This window comes from Homo sapiens, chromosome 2 (genome assembly GCF_000001405.40).
Source record: "Homo sapiens chromosome 2, GRCh38.p14 Primary Assembly".
In the NCBI taxonomy this organism is placed as follows: Eukaryota; Metazoa; Chordata; class Mammalia; order Primates; family Hominidae; genus Homo; species Homo sapiens.
This window is the reverse complement of record NC_000002.12, coordinates 70,206,661-70,222,824: the sequence shown is the minus strand read 5'-3', so window position 1 is coordinate 70,222,824 and position 16,164 is coordinate 70,206,661. Positions and strand designations below refer to the sequence as shown.

Sequence of the window (16,164 nt, the reverse complement as noted above, 5' to 3'; positions counted from 1 at the left end):
CTTCTGCCTCAGCCTCCCAAGTAGCTGGGATTACAGGTGCCGCCACCATGCACGGCTAATTTTTTGTATTTTTAGTAGAGACAGGATTTCACTATGTTGGCCAGGCTGGTCTCAAACTCCTGACCTTGTGATCCACCTGCCTCGGCCTCCCAGAGTGCTGGGATTACAGGCGTGAGCCACTGCGCCCGGCAGTAAATAATATAATCTTCTATAAAATCTTCTATAAATTTAAATCTATAAATTTCAACTTATGTAAAATTTGTGATACGTGCTTGGCTCTGTTACGCAGTGCTACAGCCCTGATTGCAATTACCCCCAGCCTCTCTTCCTATGTTCTACATGCTAGGAAGACCACAATACTGATTGAGCTTAGCTTCTCTGCCTACCCCAAAATAACTGAATGTTCCTGGAAAAAAACTGAGTTCAGGTGGTTTTGCTTCTAATTTAATGGTCACACACTTTAGGTGAGTACAGAGTACTGTCTTGGCAAACATGTGTTTCTCATCTTTCAACCACCAAACTTACATAAAATTCATCCACCTTCCCATTCTTCCTATTATAGTACAGGAAAGGTCCTTCCTGTCAAAGGCAAAATCACTTATGATTGTGTCCCCATCTCTCTTGCCTTTTCAAGGACTTTGAGCCTATGCTGCCACTGCTTCATTGTTTTTTTTTTGTTTGTTTGTTTTGTTTTGTTTTTGTTTTAACAGCAGCTTTATTGAGATATAATTCAAGTATACAGTGTGGCCGGGCACAGTGGCTCACACCTGTAATCCCAGCACTTTGGGAGACTAAGGCAGGCAGATTACTTGAGCCTAGGAATTTGAGAGCAGCCTGGGCAAAATGGCAAAACCCCTTCTCTACAAAAAATGAGCCAGGCATGGTGGCACACACCTGTAGTCCCAGTTACTTGAGAGGCAGAGGTGGGGGAATCACCTGAGCCCAGGAAGTTGAGGATCCAGTGAGCTGAGATTGCACCACTGCACTCCAGCCTGGACGACAGAGACCCTGTCTCAAAAAAAAAAATTTTTTTTTTAAAGTATACAATTCAGTGGTTTCTAGGTAATTCACAGAATTGTGCAACTATTACCAAAATAAATTTTAGAATATTTTTACCACCCCAAAAAGAAGCTACATGACTCATTAGCAGTCACTATCCTCCTTTCATGCCCCTCCTGCCAGCCCTGAACAATTGTCAATCTACTTTCTGTCTCTGTAGATTTCCCTGTTCTCAACATTTCCTATAAATGGAATCATAATGTGCTGTTCTTGTTATTACTGCTATTCTGTGTCATCACTCTATTCCTTCTCTACTGGATCATTCTCATCAACCTAGGATCTCTCTTTTTTTTTTGGAGAGAGGGTCTCACTCTGTCACTCAGGCTGGAGTGCAGTGGTGTGATCATAGCTCACTGCAGCCTCGAACTCCTGGCCTCAATCCATCCTCCTGCCTCAGCCTCCAGAGTAGCTGGGACCACAGGTGTACACCACCATGCCCACCTAATTTTTTTTTAAAAAAAGGCCAGGCATGGTGGCTCACACTTGTAATCCCAGCACTTTGGGTGGCCGAGGCAAGCAGATCATGAGGTCAGAAGTTCGAGACCAGCCTGACCAACATGGTGAAACCCCGTCTCTACTAAAAATAGAAAAATTAGCCAGGCATGGTGGCACACGCCTGTAATCACGGCTACTCAGGAGGCTGAGGCAGGAGAATCGCTTGAACCTGGGAGGCAAAGGTTGCAGTGAGCTGAGATTATGCCACTGCACTCCAGCCTGGGCAACAGAGTGAGACTCCGTCTCAAAAATATATATATATATTTTTTTGTAGGAACAATCTCACTTTGTTGCCCAGTCTGGCCTCGAACTCCTGGCTTCCACCAGTCCGCCCGCCTTGGCCTCCCAAAGTGGTGGGGTTATAGGCATGAGGCACCGTTCCTGGCCATCTAGTATCTCTTAATCAAAACCACTGTTTATCCTCACATCCCTTCCCTAACTGTATCCCCATTTCTTGGCTATAATTCTCAAGAGTTGTTTGCATATGCTTCTACTTTATCTCCCATTCACAACCACCAACATAGATACATCTCTGTTTTTTTTCCACTTTTTTGAGTGAGTAGTTTTATTTTTTTCCTGAGGAGCTGTATCAAAGTATCATAAACTGGATGGCTTAGAGCAACAAAAATTTATTTTCTCAATGTTTTGGAGGCGTGAAATTCACAATCAAGGTGTCAGCATGTCCATGCTCTTTTGAAGGCTCTGTAGAAGAATCCTTTGTTGCTTCTTCCAAGCTTCTGGTGGTTGCTGGTAATTCTTGGCATTCATTGGCTTGTAGCTGTATAACTCCAATCTCTGCCTTCATCTTCACATGACCATCTTCTCTCTTTGTGTATCCATATAATCATCATCTTTTTTTTTCGAGACAGGACCTCACTCTGTCACCCAGGCTGGAGTGTGGTGGCACAATCACAACTCACTGCAGCCTTGACCTCCCAGGCTTAGGTGATCTTTCCATCACAACCTCCTAAGTAGCTGGGACTACAGGTGTTGCAACACCATGCCCAGCTAATTTTTCTATTTTTTGTAGAGACAGGATTTTGTCATGTTGTCCAGGCTGGTCTCGAACTCCTGGGCTCATGATCCACCTGCCTCGGCCTCCCAAGTGCTGGGATTATAAGTGTGAGCCACCGTGCCCAGTCTGATCTTTACTTCTTATGAGGACTTGAGTCATTGGATTTGGGGCCCACCTTAATCCAGTATAACCTCATCTTAATTACTTCGGCAAAGACCCTGTTTCCAAATAAGGCCATATTTCACAGATACCAGGGTATAGGACTTCATATCGTTTTGAGGGACACAATTCAACACATAACATTAGTTAAGCGTCTCATGGAGTTCGGACTGGTTGGGGTGATAATATTTGTTTCTTTTTAAGAATGTGCATTTCCTGCCAGGCACAGTGGCTCATTCCTGTAATAACAGAACTTTGGGAGGCCAAGGCAGGAGGAGGACTGCTTGAGCCCAGGAGTTAGAAACCAGCCTGGGCAACAGCAAGACCCTGTCTCCATTAAAAAAAAAAAAAAAAAAAAGCCTGGCGACCTAGTCTGTGGACCCCGAATCCCTCCCATTGCCTGTTGCAACCAGTAAAGGCTGTTCCTACCATAGTAAAGAAATTAAAAAAATAAAAAAAACAGCCAACCTTGTTGGTGCATGCTTATAGTCCTAGCTACTAGGAGGCTGAGGTGGGAGTATCACTTGAGCCCAAGGAGTTCAAGGCTACAGTAAGCTGTGATCATGCCTGGATGACAGAATAAGACCCTATTTAATTTTTTTTTAAAGCATTTCGTTTTCATATTTCAAGAAAGGCCTTGAATTTGCCTGTTCCTTCAGTAGTAGATTAAGCTTACCTTTGATGTGTGCACACAAAAGTTACACTCCATTTACTTTTTAGTCTACTCTAAGCTGGTTTTACTCTCACTTTGTACCAATGCTACTCTATTTTCAAGGTCACCTCTTAACCTCTGTTTTCTTGGCTCCCTGGACCATACACTTTTGTGGCTTTCTTCCTTCATCACTGGCTACTCCTCCCTAGTCACCTTAGCTAGTGATTATTCCTTTACCCATTTTTCAAGTTTTGCTGTTTTTCAGGGCTCTGTCCTAGGCTCTTTCTCTAGTCTGCATGAATTTTGTATCTTCAGTCTACTTCTCTGCGTTCCACATTTATTAACAAATGGTCTTCATTTATATGTCTCACAGGCATCTCAAAGTTTTTTCTTAATGGAGCTTTTTGTTTCTTCCTCAGACCTGTTCCCCTTTTCTTTCCTAGTCTTTCTCCGCATTTCAATAAATGCTGTCTTTCCAATTTCTCTAGAGGAACCTAAGAGTTATCTTTTCTCTCCTTTTGCTTGTGGTGTCCCCTCCAGCCCCCATTATTTTGGCCTTGAGTTTAAGTTACATTCACTGCTACTGCAATGCTCCTGGCCACCAACACTTTTTAAAAATCTAGAATATTGCACAAGTTTCATAAAGTATCTTTATCCCCTTACTACCCATTATCCTAAGCCATTCTCCTCTTAGCGCTAAGAATGGCCTTCTTGCCGGGTGCGGTGGCTCACGCCTGTAATCCCAGCACTTTGGGAAGCCAAGGCAGGCGGATCACGAGGTCAGGAGATGGAGACCATCCTGTCTAACACGGTGAAACCCTGTCTCTACTAAAAAAGAAACCCTGTCTCTACTAAAAAATACAAAAAAAAATTAGCCGGGCTTGGTGGCTGGCACCTGTACAGGAGAATGGCAGGAACCCAGGAGGCGGAGCTTGCAGTGAGCCAAGAACGCGCCACTGCACTCCAGCCTGGGAGACAGAGCAAGACTCCATCTCGAAAAAAAGAATGGCCTTCTTAAAACATAGGTCATGATGATTCCTTGCTTAAAATCTTTCAGTTTCATTCTCTGACATTCTTTTTTGCTCGCTGGATTCCACTGAAACTAGTCTTTCACATGCTGCTTTCAGATGCATACCAAACTTTTGTGCCTTAACACACTTTGCAATACTTTTCTCTCTACTGGGGCTTTCTTCCTCATTGTTTTGACTTGGCTATCTCCTATTGCTGTCAGGCTTAGTTTAAATGTCATTTCAGAGAGACCTTTCTTATTCATCCTGTCTGTAGTAGATCCTTGTGCCCATATTCTCTATCTCAGCCTTTTGTTTCTGTCATAGGTCTTACCACAATATGTAATTGCTTTATTTGTTCCCCACAAAAGAATGTAAGAGACCATGTATGCTTGTTTACCAGTGTGTCCCTAGCTCTTAACCGCATGCCTGGAACATAACTGTTCAATATTTATTTGTTGGATGAATGAGAAACCAAATATTGTTAACAAGCTTGTTAGATTGTTTAAGATTTTCTTCTATAGTAGTCTGAGTTGCATGAACTTTATGATATCTACCTCATTAGGGCTGTCGGGCTCACGACCTTTTCAGATGATTAATGTTCCCAAAATTTAATATTCAAATAAGAGAAAAACAATACAAAAGCACCATTGGGTTGAGCATGGTGGCTCATGCCTGTAATCCTAGCACTTTGGGAAGCTGAGGTGGACAGATCACTTGAGGTCAGAAGTTTGAGACCAGGGCCGGGCACAGTGGCTCACGCCTGTAATCCCAGCACTTTGAGAGGCCGAGTTGGGAGGATCACGAGGTCAGGAGATCGAGACCATCCTGGCTAACATGGCGAAACCGTGTCTCTACTAAAAATACAAAAAATGAGCCAGGCGTGGTGGCAGGTGCCCGTAGTCCCAGCTACTTGGGAGGCTGAGGCAGGAGAATGGCGTGAACCTGGGAGGCAGAGCTTGCAGTGAGCCGAGATCACGCCATTACACTCCAGCCTGGGCCACAGAGCGAGACTTAAAAAAGAAAAAAAAAAGAAGAAGAAGTTCGAGACCAGCCTGGCCAATATGGCGAAACCCCATCTCTACTACAAATACAAAAATTAGCCAGGCATGGTGGCAGATGCCTGTAATCCCCGCTACTCAGGAGGCTGAGGCAGGAGAATCGCTTGAACCCAGTTGGCGGAGGTTGCAGTGACCCAAGATCACACCACTGCACTCCATCCTGGGTGACAGAGCGAGACTCTATCTGAAAAAATAAATAAAATAAAATTTAAAAATATAAAAAGCACCATTGCATTTTAGGAAAGCTATCATATGTTGTGTATTTCATAGAGCATTTTCACTTAAACATTTGTGAAAAGCACCAAGTTTTCTCTACTGCTAAGAGTTGTTTAACATCAACTAATAGTGACTTCTTTATTGTTTCTAATGTTGTACGGAACAGGATGCTGAAAACGCCATTCAACAGATGGGTGGCCAGTGGCTTGGTGGAAGACAAATCAGAACTAACTGGGCAACCCGAAAGCCTCCCGCTCCAAAGAGTACATATGAGTGTAGGTGTATTGGAGAAGAAAAGGAAATGTGGAATTTTGGAGAAAAATACGCTAGATTTTAAATGTTAGAGCTGTTCCCGGAGACTTATTGCAGAAATAGATGAGAAGCAAATCAAGACTACTATTCAAAAATGTACTTAGTTTTCATTTTTGTAATTATAAATAATATTATTTCTAATGTCAAGTCTCCTATTAAATAGAAAATACTGGGTAATTTTTTAGACATTCGTGGGGGAGGTTTAATTCTGAACTGAAGTATAATATGTGTAATATAAGCATTTTGATCAAGGTTAATGTTACCTTTACAGTAGTGTAGTGAATGCTACTTTTCTCTTTCTGCACATTTTATTTAATGAATTAAAGACATAAACCTTTTCTCTCACCAGCAAATACCAAACAGCTATCATATGATGAGGTTGTAAATCAGTCTAGTCCAAGCAACTGTACTGTATACTGTGGAGGTGTTACTTCTGGGCTAACAGGTATGGGAGCCTTCCCTGTGTGGCATTAATTTTTAAAGTGCAAAGCTTAATATTTGTAGGATTTTTATATAACTTAGTGTGATTTGTTTGTTTTGGTTTTTTGTCTAACAGAACAACTAATGCGTCAGACTTTTTCACCATTTGGACAAATAATGGAAATTCGAGTCTTTCCAGATAAAGGATATTCATTTGTTCGGTAGGGATGGTTTTTTAAAAAAACATTTTTCTTGGTAATGTAACTGGAAAACCAGAAAATAAATAAAAATAAAAAACTTTTTCCTCCAAAATATTTTTTGAACATTTACCTCGTTTTCTTAAAAATTTACCTTGGTTATAAAAAAGTTGAAATTTTGGCCGGGTGCGGTGGCTCACGCCTGTATTCCCAGCACTTTGGGAGGCCGAGACGGGTGGATCACCGTCATGAGTTTGAGACCAGCCTGGCCAACATTGTGAAACCCCGTCTCTACTAAAAATACAAAAATATAAAAATTAGCCGGCATGGCGGTGCATGCCTGTAATCACAGCTACTCGGGAGGCTGAGGCAGGAGAATCACTTGAACCCAGGAGGTGGAGGTTGCAGTGAGCCAAGATCACAATCACTGCACTCCAGCATGGGCAACAGAGCCAGACACCATCTCAAAAAAAAAAAATTGAAATTTCTCTAGCATCCAGCGTATTTGCCTCTGTGATTTTATAGCTCCCTCCCTAACACAAGGCCAGTGAAACACACATTCTTTGTTAACACAAGTTGCCCCAGAACTACAAGATCTTTGAAAAAAATAGCAAAGAAAATATGCCATGTTACGCAAACTGTTTTACCTCAGACTCACCTTGATTTTTAAAAATAGGTTTTATTCATAAATATTTAAAAGAATTTGTATTGGTGATTCTTAATATTGTTTTCAATAGGTTCAATTCCCATGAAAGTGCAGCACATGCAATTGTTTCTGTTAATGGTACTACCATTGAAGGTCATGTTGTGAAATGCTATTGGGGCAAAGAAACTCTTGATATGATAAATCCCGTGCAACAGGTGAGAGGGTTCTTAACTTTGAGAAGTAATTGTTGGGCTAATAATGTTATTTTAAGGTGAAGATTGTTGATAATCCTTGTTAATAAGTTTCTAGCTAAAATGATAGTATATAAGGGCTCTTCCTACATGTATTATAGTTCCAGAATGGTGTTTCATGGATTGCAGTGGTGACATGATGAATGTGACCGCCTCAATTGACTCATGCTCACACAGTGGATTTTAAAATGCTCCGAGAAACCTAAAAGGGTATTACATCTTTTTTTAATACTTGGTAGATTTATTCACATACCATTTGGAGAACTCACAAGCATGCTTGACTCAACTGAAACAAAAATAAAGCTGTAAATATAGTTATGGCCTTGGCATTTTTCTTCCAGATTTTGCTGCCTTTTTTTTCCAGGCAGCTTTAGTGGTTCAAACTTGATTCCACAAAGATTTCTATGAGGAAACTGTAAATGGAGCACAGAGATGGGAGTAAGCAAATCCTAAACTATATAAGTGTCTTAAGTAAGCTGAATATAGAAATAATTAATCACATCTTCCCTATCTAAAGGAAACAATCATGTAGATAGTATACCAAACACTTAAACATTCTACTAAGTTTAACATTTATTACTAGGGTATCAACTGATGCCTTCCAAAAACTATGCCATTCAGAGTATCACGTAGAGTTACAGCAGTATAACCTCACTTGTTTTGTTGTTGTTTTTTGTTTTTTTTTTTTTTTTTTTTTTTTTTAGCAGTCAACTCTTGTTTATCCTGTCATTTTAATTGTAATGATGGCCCTGTGTGTTTTGGCTAAGAATTTGTGGTATCAGCATATTAGGATTGTATATATATAGTTAACTTCAAGTAATACTAAATTTTATTTAATAGCAGAATCAAATTGGATATCCCCAACCTTATGGCCAGTGGGGCCAGTGGTATGGAAATGCACAACAAATTGGCCAGTATATGCCTAATGGTTGGCAAGTTCCTGCATATGGAATGTATGGCCAGGCATGGAACCAGCAAGGATTTAAGTAAGCATATCTTATGTCTTCCTTTACTAACCTTTGAAAATGTCTAAAGAAATTTTAAGTAGGAAGAAATTTTAAGAATTAGTGGGTAATAGGGCCTCTTATGTAAAGCGTAACTATAGCCTTGAAAGAACTTAAAATTGTTTTTTAGTAAGAAAATAAGAGCTTAATAGTTGTTAAGCTTTTCACATGACTAATGGTCACTTAGCCATTCTTATATACACTGAGTTTGATGCTAGTTGTTGTATTCATTATGCTTTTTTCTGTACAAAGGGTTTTTTCAATATGCCTTGTTACATTGCAAGCTTCCTTATACACCCTGAATTACACTATTTTACTTACATTTCTGAAAAACACACTGGAAATAAAAATACTTGAGAGGTTAAAAAGGAATTTAGTGGGCTGGGCGTGGTAGTTCCTGCCTGTAATCCCAGCATTTTGGGAGGCTGAAGTGGGTGGATCACTTGAGGCCAGGAGTTTGCGACCAGCCTGGCCAACATGGCGAAACCCCACCTCTGCTAAAAATACAAAAATTAGCCAGGTGTAGTGGTGCACACCAGTAGTTCCAGCTATTTGGGAGGCCGAGGCAGGAGAATCACTTGAACCTGGGAGGCGGAGGTTGCAGTGAGCTGAGACTACACCACTGCACTCCAGCCTGGGCAGCAGAGCAAGACTCTGTCTCAAAAAAAAAAAAGGATTTTGTGGTTGGGCATGGTGGCTCATGCCTATAATCCTAGCACTTTGGAAGGCCAAGGCAGGCGGATCACTTGAGTCCAGGAGTTTAAGATCAGCCTGGGCAACATGGCGAAATCTCATCTCTACAAAAGGTACAAAAAAAATTAGCCAGGCATGGTGGTTGCGTGCCTATAATCCCAGATGTTCGGGAGACTGAGGTAGGAGAATCGCTTGAGCCTGGGGAGACGTAGGTTGCAGTGAGCTGAGATCATACCACTGTACTCCAGCCTGGGTGACACAATGAAAACCTGTCTTAAAAAAAAAAAAAAAAGAAAAGAAAAGAAAATCTTGTAATGTTATGAATTTTTATGAGCTTTCATATGCTAATAATTGTTTTGATTTCTTCTTTGAGTAGTATAATGTTCCTTTTTCGTTGTAGGGAACCTACCTGACTCTTTCAGGTAGTGGTTTCCTCAGCAAATATGTTCAACCAAGGCATAGAGATGAGATGGATAGCTTTCTTTTCCAAGAATGGGGTTAGGTTTTTCTATATTCAAAGGAGATGAATGTTGATAAGTTCAGGGTATTTTCTTAGCTTTAATTTCTAACAAAATTAAACTGTCCAAATTAAACATACAGGGATGCTTGTTTTTAAGAGAAAAAAACTTTAGTAAAAGATTTCATTTTCCCTAGCATAAATTATTCTATTTGGGATTAAGAAAAAGTATGTTTCCCATTTCCCATATTTGTTCTTGTTGTTTGTTCTTGCCAATACTTTATTTTAATCAGTGGATTTCCTCTCCCCTCTGCTTCTTTCACATTCTCCACCAGTCAGACACAGTCTTCTGCACCATGGATGGGACCAAATTATGGAGTGCAACCGCCTCAAGGGCAAAATGGCAGCATGTTGCCCAATCAGCCTTCTGGGTATCGAGTGGCAGGGTATGAAACCCAGTGAATAAGGACTCCAGAATCTAAAGCCAGTGGCTTGAGGCTACAGGGAGTGTAGTAAAGCCGTTGTTTACTTAAAGATTTATCAAATCAGTCAGTGCAAATGTCAGATACAATGTATTTATTTAAAAGATTCATTTTTAATCATGAAATTACTTATCATCCACATTGTTTTAAAAAGAAACAAGATGCTGGATGTCTGCCAATTTTTGCCTTCATTACCTTTTTTGATAAAGTTTCTCAGATCCTTGTTTCAAACACAAATGCAGGGATTGCTGCCACTTTTTAACTATTAAGAGGCAGAAAATTGCACAATATTGAACTTTTTTCCACTGAAGTAGTGTGCAGTTCTAGTTTGCATTCCTGATATGATTTAAAACATGTAATATAAAGATGTTAAAAAAAAAAACCAAAACTGTGCAGAGTCTAGAAGTTGTTTGTCATCTTCAGCTTGTGCACAATTCTGTTTTAGGTTAAAAAAAGGCATTGTTTGAGCTGTCCCATCTCCACTGTTATCCCTTTGGGGTTTTTTAATATAAATTATTAGTTTACATCATTTTTGTATCTACATCTTTTTTCACAAATTTGTCTTGCCTTATTAAAGTTCTGTAAAATATACTTAAATGGAAAAAATGATGTTCATTTAGATTGAAAACTTTTCTCAGATGGATTGATAATTGCATTCATCTTGTGTTTTATATGAGAAGGTGCCTCAAGAATTTCCTGTTGGATTTGTTTAAAAGGATTTTTATCTTTCGTGATAAACTTTGCTGTGTACCAGGAACTATAAAAACAAAAACTTGTTACTAAAGAAAATATCTGAAATGTGATAAGTTCTTATGCCATGTTAATTTCATGTGTCAACTTCAACATTTACATGTATTATTTCATTATGTAAAATGTTTTAGCAATTTAATATTTTGCACAGTTAGCAAACTTTGTATGTCATTTCCTTCAAGGCATCATGCAGAGTTGACATGAGATTTATAAGGTTTTAAGTTGTTTGCATGTGAAAATCAAATACATACTTTGGTAGTCTTTGAATACAAAGTCATCTGCTCTTGTTTTTCAAGAATTTTGAGACACAAAGTTGTATGTAAAGGAATATATTAATTTGCCGTTTTCTAGGTAGATTTGCTCAAAAAGAGTGAATCAACTTAATATGTACAAATGATAGCTGTGAAACTGTAGAATATCTTTGTGTCAGGCTTGGAGTTCATTGTGACCTCCAAATTTTGCCTGAAGGACCAGCTGGGCAAAGCATCTTTTAAATGTTCAGAGGCCAAAAGATAAACAAAAAAAAAACCTTAAAATCCTACCTCTTTAAACAGCCTTCAGATAAGAGAATCCTCAGTGCAATCATTATTTTGATTCGTTTGGTACCTGTTTTCCTGGAGTTCCCGATTTTATTATTTTGGGGTGGCTCCAAGCATTAAGAGGTTTAATCTTTGATGGCATTGTTCTAGTTTTGAAATTTCTAGTATATTTCAGAGTCTCTTAGAAGACTTGTGTGGGAAGTTTCACTTTGTTTTCAGTGAAGATCACAAACCTCCTTCTTCCTTTACTCAAGAGGAAAGGTCCCAGTATACATATTTGAATGGTTGATGGTTTTCAAGACCTTCAGGGAGCTCCCTGCATTTTACCTAGAAACAGAAAAGGCCCGCAAAATCTTAAGTTTCCTGGCCTGCATTTCCCGGGTAGGGGCAAATGACTCCAAGCTGGTCTCTAAGCCAATACCCTTATAAACCAGAGCCCAGGAAAGACAGCTCGAGTGTATAATTCTCTGGAGCTCAATTCTATGCAGTTGTGCTGATATTTCATTAAGTCACTGTGTATTTTTAAGTGTTGATACATTAAAAGTCGCTTTATGGAAGATGAGTAAATTTTTTAAATACTTGGAAATTTTATTTCCTTGTTAACTTCTACAGATCAGGGCATGCAACCAAAAGCAGCTTAAATGAAATATTTTAAAATAAAATATCAGGAAGCTATTTTTAGATTTCTTCTGGCTTATGTTTCTACTTTAGGACCCTCATTGTTCTCTTATTAAAAAAAATTATTTCCTGTGCATCTCATGGACTGCAGGGTAAATTATTTGGGCATAAATAATTTAAATAGTTTTCTTTCATTTTGACTATCTCCAGTAATAACAGTTTTTATTATCCAGCATATTGGCTTATTGCACAAATCTTAAAATGTACATTGACTACTTTCTGAGAAGAAAGTGGTATCAGTACTCATGATGAAAAGGTTACTACTGAACAAATTCACATTTCAGGAACACCTCTATCTTTGGTTTAAATCTTACTCTTAGTTTTTCCGTCTAAAAATCATACTGGTATTAGTATCAGGTAAGGAAATTAAAGTTTTTAAAATGGTTTCATTCTCTGCAATATGCAAAATTTAGATTTTACTTTCTGGTACTGTAAAGAACCTGAAGTGATTTACACTTAATGGGTGATTAATCCAGTATTCTTTACCCTGAATGTTTGGATATTAAAGTTCCTTTATGTTTTCTATAACCTGTGGGATCTTCTTGCAGTGATTATTGTGTGTGAGATTTTTTTTCTTTTTGGTCTATCCATATTGTTATATTCACTCAGGTATTTTTTTTTTAATCTTATTCCAGAATCAGTGGTTTATATTGGGTTACTGTTTAACACCAAATGGAATTGGCATTCTGCAGATTTAATTAATTATGAAACCAGGGTCTCATTTTCCTTGCTGATACTTGTTGAAAATGAGATTCACATTCTAGTCTTTATTTTCCTCCTGTTTTGTCCCTGTGCTTGTACATCTTCCTTTTATTTGTGTGTTATAGTTCTATTCCATTTGAGAAGGCAGTTGGTAAGAACTAGATTGCATGTACAAAGACAGGTTTACTAAGTGCTGTACAGTGGTCCTGAGGTTACAGTTGAATTAGAAAAACGAAATGTACTTACAGGAAATAAGAAAGCAAACCTTTCAAATGAGAGTGATGATTTCTTTAAAAAAAATCAGTTTTTTTCTCTCAAATAATGTTCTTTATTTCACGAAATCGTCAATCTTAAGCATGAGCAGGGATAAACAACTCCTAGAAGGAACTCAATTCATTCTTCCTGGATTTTCTCTGTTGTTAAATCACAAAAATGATAGTCCCCAATCGTTTCTTTATAGGAGGTTATTACATTTCATTACAGTCACTGCATTTTGACTGTTGTGTTTAGAATTTGAATGTACATCCAAAATGATGAGTTTCAATTTAAGAGCCTTAATAAAATGTGTGAGTGTGTCTCAATTGAATAGGTTTTTCTACCTTCATTTGAAGACCATAATTCATATTCATATGAATTAACCAAACAGGAAATTCATATGTATTATATGTATTCATATGTATTAACCAAACAGGAAAACAACAGGTGTCAATGGTAGCAGGTTTTTGTAAACCATTTTTTTTTTTTGAGATGATGTCTCACTATTGTCCCCCACGCTGGAGTGCAATGGTGTGATCTCGGCTCCCTGCAACCTCCCCCTCCTAGGTTCAAGCCATTCTCTTGCCTCAGCCTCCTGAGTAGCTGGGATTACAGGCTCCTGCCACCACGCCTGGCTAACTTTTGTGTTTTCAGTACAGATGGGGTTTCACAATATTGGCCAGGCTGGTCTTGAACTCCCGATCTCAGGTGATCCACTTGTCTTGACCTCCCAAAGTGCTGGGATTACAGGTGTGAGCCACCACGACCAGCCTTTTTAAAAAAAAAAAAAAAAAAAACAGGCTTAATTCACTTTATTGTTCGTGTATAAAAACCCGTTTTTGTTTTTGTTTTTTTTTTTTTTTTTGAGACGAAGTCTCTGTCGCCCAGGCTGGAGTGCGGTGGCACACTCTCAGCTCACTGCAGCCTCTGCCTCCTGGGTTCAAGTGATTCTCCTGCCTCAGCCTCCCGAGTAGCTAGGACTATAGGCATGTGCCACCTTACCCAGCTGAATTTTTGTATCTTTAGTAGAGATAGGGTTTTGCCATGTTGAACAGGCTGATCTCAAACTCCTGACCTCAGATGATCCACCTGCCTCAGCCTCCTAAAGTGCTGGGATTACAGGAGTGAGCCACTGCGCCCAGCCAATGGTAGCATTTCTTGAGTGTCTTACAGTTATTTGAAATTTCTGCTCACTCAAATGGCTGTTTGCAGCACTAGCTTCAGAGATAAGATATTCCCAAGATTGCCAGTAATTAATTACACTGTGGCTCCTAAAGTTGGAGGGTGAAGTTACTGAGATAGTAAATTCAACTTTAAAAAGGAAAAAGCAAACTTTACTAGGTGATGCTGTTCAGAAAATAGAGATTAAGCACAATTTTGTATACTGGATAAATGAGATCCTTAGCTATTTATCCTTGTTCAGCTCTAGAATGCCAACAGCCAGACATACCCACCAGGCAGGATGTTGGAGGATCCTTCTGTGGTAAAACTAAGTGACTCTTGAGAGACAACAGTTACTGACATTTAAGAGCACCCACCGAAAACGCCAACTGGCCACCATTCCCTCTGCAGCCAGTCAATAAGGCCTGCCCATGTGCACAAATCTTCCAGACAGGTTTTTAGTGCTTCACTTTTACATAGGGATGGGAAAATACCACTAGAAATTTGAGGAAAACTTTGATTGTGAAAGGTAGCTCTAAACAAAAAGCAACTCTCAATCAGAAAATTTCCAGGAGCTGGAATGTCCCCAGATAAGATGTTGTATTCAAGAAATGATGGCCAGGCTCGGTGGCTCACGCCTGCAATCCCAGCACTTTGGGAGGCCGAGGCAGGCGGAACACCTGAGGTCGGGAGTTCGAGACCAACCTGGCCAACATGGTGAAACCCTGTCTCTACTAAAAATACAAAACTAGGCAGGGCACAGTGGCTCACGCCTGTAATCCTAGCACTTTGGGAGGCCGAGGCGGGTGGGTCACCTGAGGTCAGGAGTTCGAGACCAGCCTGCCCAACATGGTGAGACCCCCCCCCCCCATCTCTACTAAAAATACAAAAAATCCCAGCTGCTCAGGCGGCTGAGGTGGGAGAATTGCTTGAACCTGGGAGACAGAGGTTGCAATGAGCCAAGATAGCGCCACTGCACTCCAGCCTGGGCAACAGAGCGAGACTCTGTCTCAAAAAAAAAAAAAAAAAAATTAGCCAAGCATGGTGGTGCATGTCTGTAATCCCAACTACTCAGGAGGCTGAGGCAGGAGAATCACTTGAACCTGGGAGGCGGATGTTGCAGGGAGCCAAGATCGCACCACTGCACTCCAGCCTGGGTAACAAGAGGGAAACTCTGTCTCCAACAAACAACAGAAAATTCACTGGGCGTGGTGGCACAAGCCTGTAATCCCAGCTACTCAAGAGGCTGAGGCAGGAGAATCGCTTGAACCTAGGAGGCAGTGGTTGTAGTGAGCCAAGATGGCACTACTGCACTCCAGCCTGGGCAAAGCGAGACTGTCTCAAAAAACAAACCAACAAACAAAAAGAAATTAGGAAGCCAGACACAGTGACTCAGGCCTGTAATCCCAGCAATTTGGGAGGCCAAGGTGGGAGGATTGCTTGAGCCCAGGAGTTTGAAACCAGCCTGGGCAACATAGCAAGACCTCATGCCTACAAAAAATGAAATTAGGGCCTGGCTGCGGTGGCTCAAACCTGTAATCCCAGCATTTTGGGAGAGCGAGGCAGGTAGATCACCTGACGTCAGAAGATCGAGACCAACCTGGTGAACATGGCAAAACTCCGTCTCTACTAAAAATACAAAAATTATCTGGGCATGGTGGCACATTCCTGTAATCCCAGCTACACAAGAATCACTTTAACTCAGGAGGCTGAGGGTGCCAAGAGCAGAGATCATCCCATTGCATTCTAGCCTGGGCAACAGAGTGAGACTCTGTCTCAAAAAATAAATAAATAAATAAATAAATAAAATATGGCAGGGCACTGTGGCTCACTCCTGTAATCTCAGCACTTTGGAAGGCTGAGGCGGGTGGATCACCCACTTGAGGCCAGGAGTCCAAGACCAGCCTGACCAACGTGGGGAAATCCTGTCTCTACTAAAAATACAAAAATTAG

General features: G+C 40.2%; 1 protein-coding gene across 41 annotated transcripts in view; it reads left to right on the top strand.

Annotated features, from left to right (window-relative positions):
* Positions 1-13,381, top strand: part of TIA1 (TIA1 cytotoxic granule associated RNA binding protein) — a 39,350-nt gene extending 25,969 nt beyond the window's left edge. For 17 of the 41 annotated variants that reach the window (NM_001351513.1, NM_001351511.1, NM_001351512.1 and 14 more), the window contains 6 exons: positions 5,831-5,939; positions 6,326-6,421; positions 6,533-6,617; positions 7,331-7,454; positions 8,331-8,476; positions 9,980-13,381. In NM_001351513.1, coding sequence (NP_001338442.1) covers positions 5,831-5,939; positions 6,326-6,421; positions 6,533-6,617; positions 7,331-7,454; positions 8,331-8,476; positions 9,980-10,106 — 687 coding nt within the window. In that variant the 3' untranslated portion in view covers positions 10,107-13,381. Of the gene's footprint in view, positions 1-5,830; positions 6,154-6,325; positions 6,422-6,532; positions 6,709-7,330; positions 7,455-7,591; positions 7,701-8,330; positions 8,477-9,979 lie in introns of those variants that run through there. The other 24 variants (NR_147217.1, NR_147216.1, NR_147232.2 and 21 more) reach the window with 6 other exon arrangements.